The 19,207-nt window shown below is 43.7% G+C and overlaps 1 protein-coding gene across 20 annotated transcripts in view, besides 2 other annotated features; it reads right to left on the reverse strand.

Moving 5' to 3' along the window:
• The window catches only part of EPG5 (ectopic P-granules 5 autophagy tethering factor), a 166,749-nt gene extending 159,903 nt beyond the window's left edge, over window positions 1–6,846 (reverse strand). For all 20 annotated transcript variants that reach the window (XM_047437710.1, XM_047437706.1, NM_001410858.1 and 17 more), the window contains exon 1: window positions 6,694–6,846. In XM_047437710.1, the coding sequence (XP_047293666.1) occupies window positions 6,694–6,756 (63 nt within the window). In that variant the 5' untranslated portion in view covers window positions 6,757–6,846. The remainder of the gene's footprint in view (window positions 1–6,693) is intronic.
• Window positions 6,605–7,106: an enhancer, noted in NCBI's record as "H3K27ac hESC enhancer chr18:43547054-43547555 (GRCh37/hg19 assembly coordinates)". NCBI's record gives its function as "activates a minimal SCP1, AML or CMV promoter by ChIP-STARR-seq in naive H9 embryonic stem cells {active_cell/tissue: H9 hESC(naive)}" and the evidence as "EXISTENCE:reporter gene assay evidence [ECO:0000049][PMID:30033119]".
• Window positions 16,852–17,423: an enhancer, noted in NCBI's record as "H3K27ac hESC enhancer chr18:43557301-43557872 (GRCh37/hg19 assembly coordinates)". NCBI's record gives its function as "activates a minimal SCP1, AML or CMV promoter by ChIP-STARR-seq in primed H9 embryonic stem cells {active_cell/tissue: H9 hESC(primed)}" and the evidence as "EXISTENCE:reporter gene assay evidence [ECO:0000049][PMID:30033119]".

Consider the following 19,207-nt stretch of genomic DNA (forward strand, 5'->3'; position numbering starts at 1 on the left):
CTATTTCTTTATTTTTGATCTCCACATAAGTTACATACAGATTAAAAAACGATTTTAAAGTCATTCAAATGGAGAAACAATAATGAGTAAATTTTACAAAAAGAGTTGATAAATAGAGAAAAACATGCTTAACTATACATTACAGTAAATATGCTCTGGAGTGTGGGTATATGGGGAAAAAAACCTAAAGAAAAATACAACAAACCATTACCAACAGTTATTTCCAGGAGATGGAATTCTGGGCATTTCATTTCTGGGTTGTACACTGTGAGAGTGTGTGTATGTGTACACTCATACACACTTTAAGCAATGAGGAATCAGAAAGTAATCATTTAAAACTAAAGTTTTTTTTAAGTTTTGGGAAATAAATGGGAAGTTTCTATTCATCACTTGAAAAAAACATGTAAAGATGTAGAATAGGCTTGGATTCACATGTCCAAGGCTACTCCACATTGCTACATGTTTATTTCAAAATTAACATATGTAAAACCAAACTCCTGATTTTCCCCCCTAAAACCTGTTCCACCCACAGCTTTCTCCTTCTCAGGGTCTTCCTTGACTGTTTTCTCTCACATCCCACATCCAAACCTCAGCAAACCCTCTTGGCTCTCAGACTTCAAACACTCCTCACCACCTTCTCTCTGACAATCCTGGCCCAAGCCACCATCACCTCTTGCCTGGGTGACTGCAATAGTCTCAGATGGTCTCTGCTTCTACCCTTGCCCCCTTACAGTCTATTCTCCAAAAAGCAGTCACAGTGATTCTTTAAAGCACAAGTGGAATCATGTCACTCCTCTGCTCAAAACCCTGTGTTGATTCCATATGTCACTCAGAGTAAAAGCTCACGCAAGGCCCAACATGACCAGGCTATGCTACTTTTCTGACTTCATCTCCTACTGTTCTCCCCTCACTCACTCTGCACTAACCACACTGCCTCCTTGCAGTTCCAAGGACAGGTCTGGCATGCCACCGCCAGACAGCCTTTTCCTGGCTAGTCCCTCTGCCTGAAACACTTCTCCCCCAATATCCACATAGTGAACTCTCTCTTCCCTTTCATGTCTTTACTTAAATGTCACCCTCAATAAGAACTAGCCAGGCTGGGCATGGTGGCTCAAGCCTGTAATCCCAGCACTTTGGGAGGCCAAGGTAGGCGGATCACCTGAGGTCAGGAGTTCGAGACCAGCCTGGCCAACATGGCAAAACCTCTACTAAAAGTAAAAAAACATTAGCCAGGTGTGGTGGTGGGTGCCTGTAATCCCAGCTACTCAGGAGGCTAAGGCAGGAGAATTGCTTGAACCTGGGAGGCAAAGGTTGCAGTCAGCCAAGATCGCGCCACTGCACTCCAGCCTGGGCGACAACAGTGAGACTCTGTCCCAAAAAAAAAAAAAAAAAACTATCCAGACCACCCATCCTAACCTCTCACCAGTACTCCTCAACTCTTCAACCTGTTCTTTTTCTTTTTTCCATAGCGCTTATAAAGCATGATATATTTTCTTCTTCATGGGTTTTTGTTTGTTTAGCTTGCTTGTTTTTTGTCTTCTCCCTCTTGAATGTTAAGCTCCACTAAGGCCAGGTTCTTTGGGGTTTTTTCTCTTTTACATCCCAAGTGCCTAGAATAGTTTTCGGAACATAATGGGTGATCAATGAGTGTTTGTTTAATAAATGAATGGCTTTTAGGAGGCACGAAAGAAGCTAAATAATACTATGCAGCATCCCCCAACTTCAAACCAATAACCACTCCTGATAGAAAGGAACTAGAGGTGGAAATCAATCATTTAGGCATGGCACAAGGGGGATGGAGATTCAAAGGTTTTTCCTGTGACCTTCTGGGACACATCTTTCTGTCCTTAGCAATTACCAGATGTTCTCACTATTAATAAGTTGTTGGCATTCAGAATTTAATATTAACTGTCAAAGAAAACACTATAAAATGCACTGCTCCTGCAGAGTAAGTCCAAATCTAAGAATCTACTGTACTTATAAATTATCAAGATCAATGAAGTCAGGGTGCTCAGAGTTGGGGGATTTTATAGCAGAGAATGACACTAAAGAAATGAAAACATTATTAGGTCTCTCTCTTAGGCATCAGGTGATAAGCACCACATACCTAACCACAACCTAGCAGCCGAGGTTAGCTATCAGATGATTAACATTGAGGAATGTAGGTCAGCTGCTGGGTGAAATCCAGAAGCCACTCAAACTGTCTAAAGGCAACAGCACATGACACTATCCACTTCCTGAACTGAGACTTTGAACCAGTTTGTGGTTCCCTAAATAGCTGCCAAATTATACTATAGATGGTAAAGGTTTCATTAATATAGGACTTTATAACTATAATCGAACTATAACCAGCACTAAGAAGTGCATCAATTGACTCTAAAAAAAATTACTTTCTAGATTGTTTTATTCTAAAAGAATTAACTTTCTAGATTGACAAAGATAGGGGCCTTGCTGGTATCATGGACTTTTTTCATCCGTTTTCTCATACTAGTCAGAGGAAATTCACTAGAGTAAATTCCTCTGAGTGACAAAGCTTGGAAATATTCTTCATTACTGGCATTTATTTCATCATTCGACGAACATTATCAAGTGACAAAGAGGCTACGAAGGGTACTGAGAACAAGACAGGTCCCTCCCTCAGTGAGTTCAAAATCTAAGGGAGAAGAGAAATGTTGACAAAGTAACCACAAATGAGATGAGTGGCACAGAGGGGAGCAGAGTGCTATTGGAGAGGCAGTGACACCAGGAAGATGAGAAAAAGCTTCTCTGACGAAGTACTGTTTAGCTGACACCTCACAAATGAGTAGCTGGCTAGGTAAAAAGGGATAGGAAGGGGTGTCAGAGGAAACAACATGGGCAAAGGCCCTGAAGCAGGAAAGAATATAAAGGTTAAGAATCAAAAGAGAACTTTGGGAGGCCGAGATGGGTGGATCATCCGAGGCCAGGAGTTTGAGAAGAGCCTGGCCAACGTGGTGAAACTCCGTCTCTACTAAAAATACAAAAATTAGCCCAGCATGGTGGCAGGCACCATAATCTGAGCTACTCAGGAGGCTGAAGCTGGAGAATCGCTTGAACCAAGAGACAGAGGTTGCAGTGAGCCAAGATCACACCACTTCACTCCAGCCTGGGTGACAGAGTGAGACTCGGTCTCAAAAAGAAAAAGAAAAGAAAAGAGAGAAAGTTGGGATTGGTGGTAGAACTGAGGCTGAGGAGGAAGACAGAGGCAAGATCATACAGAGCCCTTAGTCCATGCTTTGGACTCTAGCCTCTGAGTGATGGGAAACCTTTGAAAGGTTTTGAGGAGAGTAACATGATCAGTTTTGTTTTGAAAAATATATATCCAGCTCAGTTTAGAGAATGGGCAGCAAGAATGAACGTAAAGAGGCCAGTTTAGAAGAAATCCTCCTTGGAGGAGGGTTGTACTAGTTAGGATGGAGAGGAAATGCACAGAATCAAAAGAATATTTAGAAAATGCAATTGGCAAGACTTAGTGAATGATCAGATTTGGAGGGTGAGCAAAAGTAGATGTCAAGGATTTTTGGTTTGCCCAAATGCCTCTGAAATAAAGGCCTCTTCATAAACTTTAACAAAAAAAAATTAATGTATGTTTGTATAGGAAAGTTGCCTAAGATGGATAAAAAATATAATCAATTGGTTTTTCATGATGGATCTAAAAGCTTAAGATTTTTAACTTTTTAATTTAGAAATTGTTTTAAACAAAATAAATTAAGAGGGAATCCCCTTAACAGACTTTTTAAAGCATCTGTAACATTCTATCTATGGAAAGACAAAAGACATACAGATACATGAAATAACTATTAAGTTCCTGGATTGAGAGTCAGGATTTCTGGCTTTAACCTGAGTTCTCTCACGAACTGCATGACACTGAGCAATATTTAATCCCCGGAGGCTTTAGTTTCATCAATATCTTGGGGGAAAAAAACTAGAGATTAAGACTTAAGATTCTGCTCTCATAGACAACTAACATTTATGTGTTATGCACTACTGCATTATAGGTTCAGGAATTTTTTTTTTTCTTCACTGGATAGGTATGTTTTCTTTTTTTTCCTGTAGTCTCATCGTTAAGTAGGTTTAGGGATCTTATGCATAGCTGGCCAATGGCTTTTTTCTTCCTCCTGGGCCTGGATAGTTCTTTACCAACCCAATACAATGCAAAAGCATTTCTTTTAAAAATATTTCTGAGCCGGGTGTGGTGGCTCATGCCTGTAATCCCAGCACTGTGGGAGGCCGAGGTGGGCAGATCACCTGGGGTCTGGAGTTCGAGACCAGCCTGACCAACATGGTGAAACCTCATCTCCACTAACAATACAAAAATTACCCAGCCTGTAATCCCAGCTACTCGGGAGGCTGAGGCAGGAGAATTGCTTGAAGCCAGGTGGCAGACGTTGTGGTGAGCAGAGATCGCGCCACTGCACTCCAGCCTGGGCAACAAAAGCGAAACTCTGTCTCAAAATAAATAAATAAAATTCCTGAAATTTGGTACCAAAATGACTTTCTCACCAGAATAACTCCTCACAGACCTGGATACACCAATGTGTCTAACTCCACTACAGCCGTTTAAAAAGTCATATCAAGAAAACGTGGTAAATACTCAGCATGGAATACTATGCAGCCATAAAAAAGAACAAAATCGTGTCCCCTGCAGCAACATGGATGCAGTTAGAGGTAATTATCCTAAGCAAATTAATGCAGAAACAGAAAATCAAATACCACGTTCTCACTTATAAGTGGGAGCTAAACATTAAGTACACATGGACACAAAGAAGGGAATAATAGACACCAGGGCCTACTTGAGGGCAGAAGGTGGGAAGAAGGGAAGGATAAAAAAACCACCTGTCAAGCACTATACTCATTACCTGGGTGACAAAATAATCTGCACACTAAACCACCAAGGTGTGCATTTGCCCATGTAGTAAACCTCCACTTGTACCCTCTAAACCTAAAATAAAAGTTGGAAAGAAAAAAAAAGAGCATCATAATGAAAGAAATCCACATAAGTCATCTACAGTCTACTAAGTATGGTACCTATGAACACTACCCTCCTGTTAAAACCTTGTTCCCATGAGAAAATCGGATTACAGTATCATGCTTAAATTACACCTGCTTTGGAACATCACCCACTTCTGGGGAAAAAAATGTCCTGTACTTGTAATACCATCCTCCTTATTTCCCAAATGTAAACTCTGTTTCAGGTAAGCCAAAATTATGAGGTCTGGCCATGCGGGAGCAGCATTTAATCTGTTCATCTTAGAAAATATATATAAATAGGGTGGGCGCGGTGGCTCACGCCTGTAATCCGGGCACTTTGGGAGGCCAAGATGGGCGGATCACCTGAGGTCAGGAGTTTGAGGCCAGCCTGACCAACAAGGAGAAACCCCGTCTCTACTAAAAATACAAAATTAGCCGTGTGTGGTGGCGCATGCCTGTAATCCCAGTTACTCGGGAGGCTGAGGCAGGAGAGTCGCTTGAACCCGGGAGGCGGAGGTTGCGGTGAGCCGAGATTGCACTCCGCCGAGATTGCACTCCAGCCTGGACGACAGAGCGAGACTCCATATCAAAACAAAAACAAAAACAAAACAAAACATAGGCTGGGCGCGGTGGCTCACGCCTGTAATCTCAGCACTTTGGGAGGCCGAGGCGGGCGGATCACGAGGTCAGGAGATCGAGACCATCCTGGCTAACACGGTGAAACCCCGTCTCTACTAAAAATACAAAAAATTAGCCGGGCGTGGTGGCAGGCGCCTGTAGTCCCAGCTACTCGGGAGGGAGGCTGAGGCAGGAGAATGGCGTGAACCTGGGAGGCGGAGCTTGCAGTGAGCCGAGATCGCGCCACTGCACTCCGGCCTGGGCGACAGAGCAAGACTCTGTCTCAAAAAAAAAAAAAAAAATACATATACATATATATACACACACACATATGTATATATGTACGTATATATGTATATATGTGTACATATGTATATATGTGTATATATGTACTATAATAAAATGAAAATCCAGACTGCACTTATAAACAAATCAACTTAAAATCACTCTAATACCACATGTAGTCTAATACAGGAAACTCAGAAAATTCAAACACTTCCCTACTGTGTGAGTCCCGCCCTGGGTTAATTTCTAGCCATTCATGCCCCTTATAAACAATCAAGACAATAAGAAATAAACAGAGGCAGCACTACTATCATCTTGAACTTTCAAAGTGATCAGAAATGGCACAGCACTAGTCTACTTATAAAGTTCTGCCAAAGGTACCTTCTCCGCGTGGAGGAGGGGAACATTCCCTCTTTATGCATGGCAGGGACTAAAAATGTTCTAGGATATAAAAGAGTAAAGAGAGAGTCAACGATGGGGCTGGAAAGAGAAAAATTATTTCACGGCAGGAAACCAGACCCAGGTGAGGAAAGCCAAGAGAGCAGAAAAGGAAGAGGCCAGTGAAGTCACAGGAGGGAGAAGGAAAAATGGGGTCCTGACAGAGTGTGGCAGGGGGATATGGAGAAGGAATGGAGGAGAAGGGCCGGTGTCAACGGGTGGTGGGATCAAATATTGGAAGGTGGAGGCGGAAGATGCAGAGGGCTCAGGGAACGGGAGTAGAATTGGCTGGGGAGGCCGAAGAGAGGAGCAAGGAGACACAGCACACTGCCAGAGCCTCGGGAGGGTGGGGGAGATCCTCACCTTTGTTTTAGTCCGGCTGGCCTTGGCCTTGGCCCGGCGCTGGGGCTTCACCGCCTCGGCCATAGACCCTTCCGCGGCGCCGTCACCGTTTGTTTTTGTCAAACCCCTGCGCTTCAAGCAACCTGCCCGGTTCTGGCCTCCGGACTGTCACATGATCGAATCTCCGCCACTCCCGGAGAAGAGGCGGTGAGTCGGCGCCTCTACGGGCCGCAACGTAGGACAAACCACTCCAGGACGCATTTGCACTGGAGGAAGGCAGGCCCGCCCCCTTCCCGGAGCCCAGGCCCCACCCCTAGCCCTGGCTCCACCCGGCGCGCAGGTGTCTTGGGTTGCGCTGGACAAGGGCAGCGACCCAGGCTGACCCACCTCCTCCGTCTCCCGGCTCTGCGGAACCTCACTCAGTGCGGATCCCGGGCGCGCTCGCACACCTCACCCGCGTCGGCTTGAAGAAATCCGGAAAGTGGGTTTGCCATTCTTTTTTTTCATCTTCAGATAAACCAGATCCAGTCGGTTAGCCTAAATCCGCACTGCGCGCAAGGAAGAAACCCTGACGCCCATCGGGGTGTGCACTTCGGCGTCCTCTTTTGTAAAGGGGAATGATCACACCTGCCTTTTCGGATGTCATGAGAATTTAATGGGCTCTCCCAGAAAGGTGCCTGGTAGCGGCAGGCATGTCGGTACATGGTAGTTATTAATTATCATTACTGTACAAATTCCCAGACTGGAAAAAAGACATGTGCTCCTAAAAGGACAGGCAAACAGGTAACAAGATAAATAAGATCCGTAAAAGTATTCTTAGTATACATTTTACAGTGTGCTTCATTTGAAATTTCCAGATGTGAAAAACTTGTCCACATCTTCCCTTCCCAGCTCTAGGATTTCTGTGATTTGCTTGTATCCTTATTGTTAGTGTCTGTCAATCCTCCCAGAATGTAAGATCCTCAAAGGCAGGGTTCTTAATTTTGTTGCCTGATGTATCCAAGGGTCTTTAGAACACTGCACGTAGTAGCACATAGTAGATACTAAATAAATATTTCGTGAATCACACAAATGAGTATGAGTTTTGTCTGGCGGTGGGGTAAGATCGTTGAAATGGAGTGGGCCAGGCGCAGTGGCTCACGCCTGTAATCCCAGCACTCTGGGAGGCCGAGGCGGGTGGATCACCTGAGGTCAGGAGTTCAAGACCAGCCTGGGCAACATGGTGAAACCCCAACTCTACTAAAAATACAAAAAAGTCGCCGGGCATGGTGGTGGACGCCTGTAATTCCAGCTACTCGGGAGGCTGAGGCAGGAGAATTGAACCTGGGAGGCGGAGGTTGCAGTGAGCCGAGATCGCACCATTGCCCTCCAGCCTGGGCAACAAGAGCGAAACTCCCATCTCAAAAAAAAGAAAAGAAAAGAAAAAGAAGAAAAGGAAATGGAGTGTATGGGAGGGAGGAAAAAGACCATCCACCCACCTGTAGCATACCCTAGAATAAAAAATCCAGCAATATGGCATGAAAAATGGAAAAGACTTCAGAGATGCAGTTTGCTTGTTTGTGATGATATTTTAATTGAGTATATAATACAATTTCGTGTATTTTGTTCCCAAATCCTCAACAACAAAAATTATTAAGCTACTCAGAATATACATGTACTTTGTATGTCCTGGTGTGTGTGTGTGTGTGTGTGTGTGTGTGTGTGTGTGCATGTATATAAAGTTATCACCTGCAAAGAGTTGGCCAATATAAACAAAATCTTTATACCACCATTACTATCCATAACTTTTGCTGATATTTCTCCCAGTCTGGAATACCCTTGCTCTCTGACCTCTCCCAGTTTAAGTCATTTATGACATTTAAAGTTCTCTATGTGCTACCCACTACTTGGTCAGCAAAACACAACTGACCCTACTCTCAATTTGCATGTTTTACAGTTTAGTTGGGAAGCAGACACAATGCATAGATACATTGTGATACGTGTATCATCGCCTAACTGGTAAAAGAGGCATACATTGGAAAGACTGAATGAAGGGATGACACCAGGGCAGGGGTGAGTTCCACACAAAAAAGAGGTTAATCAGGGAGGATGGGAGAAAGAGGAGAAGGAGGAAAGAAATGAAGGTTCTTTAAAAAGCACCTCAGCCTGGCACAGTGGTTCACACCTATAATCCTAGCATTTTGGGAGACCGAGGCAGGCGGATTGCCTGAGTTCAGGAGTTCGAGACCAGCCTGGGCAACACAGTAAAACCCCATCTCTACTAAAATACAAAAAATTAGCCAGGCCTGGCAGCGTGCGCCTGTAGTCCCAGCTACTTGTCCCAGCTACTTGGGAGGCCAAGGCAGGAGAATTGCTTGAACCCAGGAGGTGGAGGCTGCAGTGAGCCAAGATCGTGCCACTGCACTCCAGCCTGGGTGACAGAGCAAGGCTCCGTCTCCAAAAAAAAAAAAAAAGCAACTCAAAACCACAGCCTCCTAGGACTGCATAAGGTACTTCTGCTGCATTTATGTGGCTTACTGCACTTCTCAAGATGGTGAATGTGAGTATGATGTATGATGACTGGAGAGGCCAGAGAGAGCCAGATTGCTCTGTATAAGCAGAGATTTAGAGAATTTAGAGAGGAAGGAAGAACAATATATAAGGGGAGGTGGAAACGAAGTCACCTGGCAGAGGGCTAACTACTAAGGAGACCTACATTTTCCATCACGAAGTTATCTGTCGTTGGATTAATTTCAGAAAGTGAGGCCAACAGCCAGACAATTCAAGTTCAGTAGAATCCAAACAAAAGGTAAAGCAACAATCAGTTAGGTAATGATATAATTTGAACCGAGAAGGTGGTTTTGAAACTACTCCTTTTGAAGGATATAGACTTGAAGTCTCTGTTGCCACAGCAACAATTTTAAAAGGGACAATGGGAGCAGGGGCTCAGAAAAGTTCCCGAACATATGCAGTCAAGGATTTCATGTCCCAGCCAGACAACTGACTGATAAGCAACCTGAGTTCCCAGGGCTGCTAAACCCAACCTGTGAGACAGTAGCTTGAAAAAGTAAACAGGCCGGCAGTGGTGGTTCACACCTGTTATCCCAGCACTTTGGGAGGCAGAGCAGCGCAGATCACTTGAGGTCAGGAGACCAGCCTGGCCAACATGGTGAAACCCCATCTCTACTTAAAAAAATACCAAAATTAGCGTAGCGTCATGGCATACACCTGGAATTCCAGCTACTTGGGAGGCTGAGGCAGGAGAATCGCTTGAACCCAGGAGGCGGAGGTTGCAGTGAACCAAGATGGCGCCACTGCACTCCAGCCTGGGCAACAGAGCGAGACTCCATCTCAAAAAAAAAAAAAAAGTAAACCAATTCCTGGAAGTAAAGTATCATCTCAGGAAAGTCAAATACAAAGCAGATAAAGTAATTTAAGCTGACAGCATAATCCTTTTGTGTTAAATTAGGAATAAACTGTATCTTTTTGTATTTAAAGTGCTTGTACTGGTTACGATAATTTGGCAAATTAAAGGATATAGACCTTATGATTCCAAATTAAAATATGTATTTTACTACCTGATTTTAGATTACATATATTTTAGTTAAAAATAAGATAATTTTATACGGCTTACATAATCATGGAATATCTCTGAGAAATTAAGATCTATCATATTTATAAACTGAATTTGTGGCTGGGTGCAGTGGCTCATGCCTGTAATCCCAACACTTTGGGAAGCCAAGGCGGGCAGATCACGAGGTCAAGAGATCGAGACCATCCTGGCCAACATGGTGAAACCCCGTCTCTACTAAAAATACAAAAATTGGCTGGGTGCACACCTGTAGTCACAGCTACCCGGGAGGCTGAGGCGGGAGAATCGCTTGAATCTAGGAGGCGGAGGCTGCAGTGAGCCGAGATCATGCCACTGCACTCCAGCCTGGCAACAGAGTGAGACTCCGTCTCAAAAAAAAAAAAAAAAAAAAAAATTTGTTAGACCTTAGTAGGATGGTTTAAGTAGTTAGAATGGTTGGTTGGTCAGTTCAGGCAACATTAAAAAAATTAATATTTTGAATTTAATACTGTAGTATAAAACATTTGAAGGAATTTAAGTGATGATGGGACCAATTGTTTAAGGGACTTTGGTCTGTTGAATGTGAGTGGATGAATTGTTAAGGTTCCCCCTTGAACATGACTATGAAACTCTATTAGATTTATAAAAATAATGTTGAGGTATGTATAAAGATAACTTGAAGACTTAACAAAAACTGGGCCGGGCATGGTGGCTCACGCCTATAATCCCAGCACTTTGGGAGGCCGACGTGGGTGGCTCACCTGAGGACAGGAGTTCGAGACCAGTCTGCCCAACATGGTAAAACCCTGTCCCTACTAAAAATACAGAAATTAGCCGGGCATGTAATCCCGTACTACTTGTAATTACAAGTACCTGCCTGTAATCCCAGCTACTCAGGAGGCTGGGACACAAGAACCACTTGAACCTGGGAAGCGGAGGTTGCAGTGAGCTGAGATTGCACCACTGCACTCCAGCCTGGGCAACAGAGCAAGACCCTGTCTCAAAAAAAAAAAAAAAAAAAAAAGGTCGAGCATGGGGGCTTACGCCCATAATCTCAACACTTTGGGAGGTCGAGGTAGGTGTATCACGAGGTCAGGAGATGGAGACCATCCTGGCCAACATGGTAAAATCCCGTCTCTACTAAAAATACAAAAATTAGCCCAGTGTGGTGGCGTGCACCTGTAATCCCAGCTACTCAGGACGCTGAGGCAGGAGAATCGCTTGAATCCGGGAGGCGGAGGTTGCAGTGAGCCGAGATTGCGCCACTGCACTCCAGCCTGTGAGACTCTGTCTCAAAAAAAAAAAAAGACTTAACAAAAACTAAATTTTAGAATGTGTATGGGTTTAATAAATTAAGATTAATTTTTAAATAATTTAAAATACTAATTTCAGCTAGCAAAATAACAACAAATGTCTTCTCTATGCATAAGTACTATTTGCAGAGATTCTAAGAAATTCATCTTGACAGCAAGCAGTGTTCATCACTGGCATAATAATCAGAGAAGGGTTTGCTACTCTGGGCTGTAATAATTATCACCAACATTTCCTGAGCTCTTACTCTCTGCTGGGCCCTGTTCTGAGTACTTTTCATGTGTTAACTCATTTGATTCTTCCAACAACCCCGCGATGTTGAGGATTTCATTGCTTTCATTTTATAAAAAGAGAATTAAGACTCAGAGAGATTGAATTATTTGCCTAAGGTCACACAGCTTATGTAAGTGGTGGAGCTGGGATTTGAACGAAGGCAGTTATACAATATAAACAGACTTTGAAGAGGAAGCCAGGTTTACTGTCTCCATGTTTGCAATATTTAATACTTATACACTGGGGCCAAGATGACTATCAGAAATATTTCATTTAAAAGATACTGTATTAATCATAATAGTCACAGTGTTGACTGCTGGATGTCAAGGTTATATTTTTTTCTTCAAAAATTTCTATAATAGTTTTAAATTATAATATTTCTTTTGGTTGTTGTTGTTGTTGTTTTTATTTTATTTTATTTTTGAGACAGAGTCTCACTGCAATGCCCAGGCTGGAGTGCAATGGCATGATCTTGATCTTGGCTCACTGCAACTCCCCCTTCCCAGGTTCAAGCGATTCTCCTGCCTCAGCCTCCTGAGTAGCTGGGACTACAAGCATGCACCACCACACCCAGCTAATTTTTGTATTAAATTATATTTCTAAATGCAACTGCAAACAATATAGAAGTACCTATGATAGTAAGTTAATACTCCTTTCCCCAGAGTTAACATTAACAGTTCAGTATACATCCTTAAAGACTTTGCTCTACTCACATACAAAATCACACTCTTAAATACTCCATGCCTATGTGTAGATTGCGACCTTTTAATTAATGAATCCTAGCGCTATTTCCTTGTAAAAACAGATACCTCTACCTCATTTTTCCTTCAATTAATAAAATATTTCATAAACTTATTTAAACTTATTTAAAACTTATTTAAACAGACTTTTGATGGCCATTGTGTTGTTTTCAATGTTTCACTATTAAAACCAGTGCTGGTGGGCGCAGTGGCTCATGCCTGTAATCCTAGCACTTTGGGAGGCCAAGGACGGTGGATCATGAGGTCAGGAGATGGAGACCATCCTGACTAACACGGTGAAACCCCGTCTCTACTAAAAATACAAAAATATAGCCGGGCGTGGTGGTACGCACCTGTAGTCCCAGCTACTCGGGAGGCTGTGACGGAAGAATTGCTTGAACCCAGGAGGTGGAGGTTGCAGTGAGCCAAGATCACGCCACTGCATTCCAGCCTGTGCGACAGAGACTCCATCTCAAAAAAAAAAAACACACCCACACAAAAAAAATCAGTGCTTATACATGACCACTCATATATTTTTATGCATGTTTATTTCTGTAAAATCAATTCCTAGATGTACAATTTTGATCATAGAGGCATTCTCATTTTTAATTTTGATAAATATTTACCAGATTTCCTCCTAATAGGCTGTATTAATTTTCACTGCGGCTTTAAGAATTTAAAATACTTTTTAATCTCATGATTAAAATCCTGGTCAATTAAAAACAAGAACAAGGCGGCCAGGGGTGGTGGGTCACCCCTGTAATCCCAGCACTTTGGGAGGTTGAGGCTGGTGGATCACCTGAGGTCAGGAGTTCGAGACCAGCGTGACCAACATGGAGAAACCCTATCCCTACTAAAAATACAAAATTAGGCAGACATGATGGCACATGCCTGTAATCCCAGCTACTCGGGAGGCTGAGGCAGGAGAATCACTTGAACCCGGGAGGCAGAGGTTGTGGTGACCCGAGATCGAGCCATTGCACTCCAGCCTGGGTGACAAGAGTGAAACTGTTCATCTCAAAAAAAAAAAAAAAAAACCAGCATTCATAAAAAGACTGTAACTCATATATTATGTTATGGCATTCCATAACATAATATGACTATGATGCATAAGTCAGCCAGCATCTGGAAAAGAGTAAAAGCAAGGTTCAGTGAAAGCTGCTGAACTCTAGAAGGTACGCTGGGTTGACCTTTCTTAAATCTCCTTCCAAAATTCCATTCCAGAGTCTCTGTTGCCATCTGGTGGCAATGCCTGCTTGGTGAAACCTCTTACATATGATTTCCGAGAAGTCATTCATGATACAGATAGTTACTTTCTGTACATCATAACAGCACAAGGCGTTATTTCATCATTCTTCATTACTAAATGCATTTTTTAAAATTGCGAAAGAATCAGGTTGCTTCTACATTATTTCAGTTTCTTGAGACAATTAGCTCCCAGAGCAAGTACGTACCAAAAATGTACAACCTATGTTTTTCTAACAAACTGTCTTCCATAGGTGGGCTCTTTTCCATTAACAGACTTTTGCTTCCATAGGCAGCAAAGCATATAAACTTTGTCCTTTTTTTCCTCTTATAATCTCCAAACATTAAATGAGTCATACAAGTACAGTTGACCCTTCAACACTGCAGGAGTTAGGGTCACTAATCCTCCACACAGTTGAAATCTGCATATAAATTTTGACTCCTCCAAAATTTTATTTTATTTTATTTTATTTTACTTTATTTTATTTTTGAGATGGATTTTCACTCTTGTTGGCCAGGCAATCTCGTGCAATGGCACGATCTCGGCTCACTGCAACCTCCCCGCTTCCCGGGTTCAAGCGATTCTCCTGTCTCAGCCTCCTAAGTAGCTGGGATTACAGGCATGTGCCACCACGCCCGGCTAATTTTTTTTTTTTTTTTTTTTTTTTTTTTTTTTTTTTTGAGGGGGAGTCTCGCTCTGTCACCCAGGCTGGAGTGCAGTGGTGCCATCTCGGCTCACTGCAAGCTCCGCCTCCCGGGTTCACGCCATTCTCCTGCCTCAGCCTTCTGAGTAGCTGGGACTACAGGCACCTGCTACCACACCCGGCTAATTTTTTTTTTTTTTTTTTAATGGAGACGGGGTTTCACTGCGTTAGCCAGGATGGTCTTTATCTCCTGACCTCATGATCCACCCGCCTCGGCCTCCCAAAGTGCTGGGATTACAGGCGTGAGCTACCGCGCCCAGCCCTAATTTTGTATTTTTAATAGAGACAGGGTTTCATCACGTTGGTCGGCTGGTCTTGAACTCCTGACCTCAGGTGATCCACCCGCCTTAGCCTCCCAAAGTGTTGGGATTACAGATGAGAACCAGATATTTAAGGCCATGAAATTTAAATGTATTTGGCACTTAAATGGAAATTTCTGGCAATAGCTGTCCCTTCAACCTAAAACAAAACTATACTAAAAGACAGACAACAAAAATATAAGCCAGGGCTGGGCGCGGTGGCTCACGCCTGTAATCTCAGCACTTTGGGAGGCTGAGGCAGGTGGATCACCTGAGGTCAGGAGTTCGAGACCAGCCTGGCCAATATGGTGAAACCCCATCTCTACTAAAAATACAAAAATTAGCCGGGCATGGTGGCAGGTGCCTGTAATCCCAGCTACTCGGGAGGCTAAGGCAGGAGAATCGCTTGAACCCCAGAGGTGGAGGTTGCAGTGAGCTCAGATCACGCCAAAAAGAATTCTAGCCCCTCTCATCTTGACTTGGTGGCTAGTGCCCTTTTATTTGTTTTATGAGAACAATTTAGCCTTTTGGGAAGGGCTGTTATATAAACTATCACTAAATTCCTTCCCAAAGCTAGTTTGGCCTATGCCCAGGAATGAACAAGGACAGTTTAGAGGTTAGAAGCAAGATAGGGTCAGTTAGGTCTGATATCTTTCACTGTCATAATCTTCTCAGTTAATATTTTTGCAAAGGCGGTCTCAGTCAGGGTGAAATGAAATGGTGATAACATCTGTGCTGCACCATAAAAAAGAACGAGATCATGTCCCTTCTGGGAACATGGATGGAGCTGGAGGCCATTATCTTTAGCAAACTAATGCAGGAACAGAAATCCAAATACCACATGTTCTCCCTTATAAGTGGGAGCTTAGTGATGAGAATACATGGACACAAAGAGGAGAACAGACACTGGGATCTGTTTGAGGGTGGAGGGTGGAAGAAGGGAGAGGATCAGAAAAGATAACTATTGGGGCCATGCGCGGTGGCTCACACCTGTAATCCCAGCACTTTGGGAGGTTGAGGGCTGGAGGATTGTTTAAGCCCAGAAGTCCAAGACCAGCCTGGGCAACATGACGAAACCCCGTCTCTAAAAAAACACAAAAATTAGCCAGGAGTAGTGGCACATGCCTATAGTCCCAGCTACTCAGGATGCTGAGGTGGGAGGATCACTTGAGCCTGTGAGGTGGAGGTTCGGTGAACCGAGATCATGCCACTGCACCCCAGCCTAGGCAACAGAACAAGACTCTGTCTCAAAAAATAACTATTGGATACTAAGCTTAGTACCTGGGTGATGAAATAATCTGTACAACAAACCCCTGTGATACCAGTTACCAATATTGAAATGCTTCATTCTCTTTCACCCATTCATGAGAAATAATTATTTCTCCCTTGAACCTCACAGGTCTTTGTAAATGCCTCTATTACCACATTGCATTTCAATTATGTTCATATGTAATGCAAGCCATTAGAATGCCAAACCCTTGTGGTTCAGTCTTGATGTGATGTCATGATTAAAGAGGCACAGGCAGACCAAAAAAAAAAAAAAAAAAAAAACTATGCTGCAGAATCACAGTTACTGAGGCCTCACTCGTGGTGAATTTGGGTGAAACAGGTGGAAGAGCTCATGCAACATTACTAACACTTGAAAGATATGGGGCAAAGGTAATTCTAAGGACTATCAAGTAGGTTGGTTTTTATCAACTGCTGTTGACACACTGCAGAAAATCACAAGCTTGGGTCACTTAGGGAATAGTGGGAAAGCCAGAAAGCCCTTATGGCATCATTTAAAGAGATGCATTTTGCAAAATTATAAAGATAACGTGAATATAAAAAGAAATGATGTTACTTCCAAATTACTTTATCTTTCTTCAGATCCCCTGAGTCACGGGTCAGGAGGGCACATCAGTAATCCTTCCTGCAGTGGAAATGGTACATTCTGGTTTCTTTGTTGTTGTTGTTTATAGAGACGGCATCTCACTATGTTGCCCAGGCTGGTCTCAAACTCCTGGGCTCAAGGGATCCTCCCACCTCAGCCTCACAAGTAGCTGGGACTGCAGGTGCATATGACTGCACTGCGTAGAAACGGTACATTCTGGATCAGGCCTAAGCAAATCCAGGGAGCACAAGTATGTTGCCCCAAAAGGTGATGCAGACTCATCAATTACCCTTCTCTGTTGTATCTGTGCCTCTCCCTCACCTCATACCTATGGCCTCAGAGAAGGCATTCTTCAACCCAGTTGATGGAGAAAAACTCAGGCCTGGTCAAGAATAGGTCAGCTCTATATGTTAATTGTTGCTCTGTACCCGTGTGGACTGCTGCCACATGACAGTCCACTCAGGAGGGACTGTGGAAAACAGCAGCGAAGAGGAATACGCTCAAAGCACAGGAGTCAAGCAGTCCAGCTGCTCATCAGCTTGCTGTGAAGGGAGACATAGCCCACAGTAAATAATATACATAGATTCCTGGGCTGTGGCACGTGACCTGACTGATTGGCAAGGGAGGAAATAGAAGACTGAAGACAGGCTGGGCATGGTGGCTCACGCCTGTAATCCCAGCACTTTGGGAGGCTGAGGCAGGAAGATAGGTCAGGAGCTCGAGACCACCCTGGCCAACATGGTAAAACCCTGTCTCTACTAAAAATACAAAAATTAGCCAGGCATGGTGGTGGGCACCTGTAATCCCAGCTGCTCAGGAAGCTGAGGCAGGAGAATCGCTTGAACCCAGGAGACAGAGGCTGCAGTGAGCCGAGACCACACCACTGCACTCCAGCCTGAGCGACACAGGGACACTCTGAATCTAAAACAAATAAAATAAAAATAAATAGAAGACTGAAGACAAAGAGGCCTAGAGAAGAAGCAGGCAAGTGGCCTCTGGAATTAGGCAACAAAATGTGCAACTCTTTGTGTCTCATACCAAGGCCTATGAGAGAATATCCATCACAAAGCAGGTGCAGAGCAACCAGGTGGCAGGGATGACTCATCCAGTGCAGTAAGCAAGCCTCTGTCCTTGGCCACTCTGGTGCTTCCTCAATGGGCCCATTAACAGAGTAGCCATGGTGGCAGGAATGCAGCTAAGGGGACTTCCCTGCTCACCAACCCCGATGTAGCAACTACCACTGAATACCTGATCCATTAGCCTAGAGACTGAGGCTGAGCTCTAAATATGTTACCAGTCCTCAAGGAAACCAACCATCCACTTGGTGGCAAATTGATCCCATCAAACCCATTCTACCCTGGAAGCATTTCTGTCTACTGGGATTGAGTTCAAGAATGGATTTGCCTTTCCTGCTAGCCTTGCCTCAGCCAGCACCACAATCCAGGAGCTTATACAGTGTGTAATGTAACATTATGGTTTCCACATAACATCATCTTAAACCAGTGTTTCTCAATTTTTTTTCTTTTTTTCTTTTTTTTTTTAAACGGAGTCTTGCGCTGTCTCCCAGGCTGGGGCGCAGTGGTACGATCACATCTCACTACAACCTCTGTCTCTCAGGTTCAAGTGATTCTCCTGCCTCCCCGAGTAGTTGGGATTACAGGCACATGCCACTGGGCATGGCTAATTTTTGTATTTTTAGTAGAGACGGGGTTTCACCATGTTTTGGCCAGGCTGGTCTTGAACTCCTGATCTCAAGTGGATCTGCCTGCCTTGGCCTCCCAAACTGCTGGGATTACAGGCACGAGCCACCTCACCCGGCCTTCAATTTTTTTTTCATTATCACTCCCTTAATATCCTTTTTAGACTTTTTTTTCCTGTCAGCCTATGAAACTTTTCTTTTTTTATTTCTTTCTTTTTTTTTTAACATGCCTTCTGAATTCAAAAACTCCCATGAAATTTTAATACCACAGATATACTGTATTATTCCTCCTCCTCCTCCTCCTCTCTTCTTCTTCTTCTCCCTCTCCCTCTCCCTCTCCCTCTCCCTTCTCCTTCTTCTTCTTCTTCTTCTTCTGGAGACAGACTCTTACTCTGTTGCCAGGGCTACAGTGCAGAGGCACAATCTCGGCTCACTGCAACCTCCACCTCCTGGGTTCAAGCGATTCTCCTGCCTCAGCCTCCCAAGTAGCTGGGATTACAGTCACCTGCCACTATGCCCAGCTAATTTTTTGTATTTTAATAGAGACGGGGTTTCACCATGTTGGCCAGGCTGGACTCGAACCCTTGACCTTGTGATCTGCCCACCTTGGCCTCCCAAAGTGCTGGGATTATAAGCATGAGCCACCGTGCCCAGCTGTATTTCTTTTTATGCAGTATATGTTTATCCATGCTTTATACATAAAAATAGTAAGTTTTGTTTTGTCTATCAATAACCAATTTTCACCCCCTTGGTGGCAATACTGCCCCCACTGAGAATACAAATCTTTTTTTTGCTTTTTTTTTAGACGGAGTCTTGCTCTGTTGCCCAGGCTGGAGTGCAG

Source organism: Homo sapiens, chromosome 18, assembly GCF_000001405.40.
Source record: "Homo sapiens chromosome 18, GRCh38.p14 Primary Assembly".
Lineage (NCBI taxonomy): Eukaryota > Metazoa > Chordata > Mammalia > Primates > Hominidae > Homo > Homo sapiens.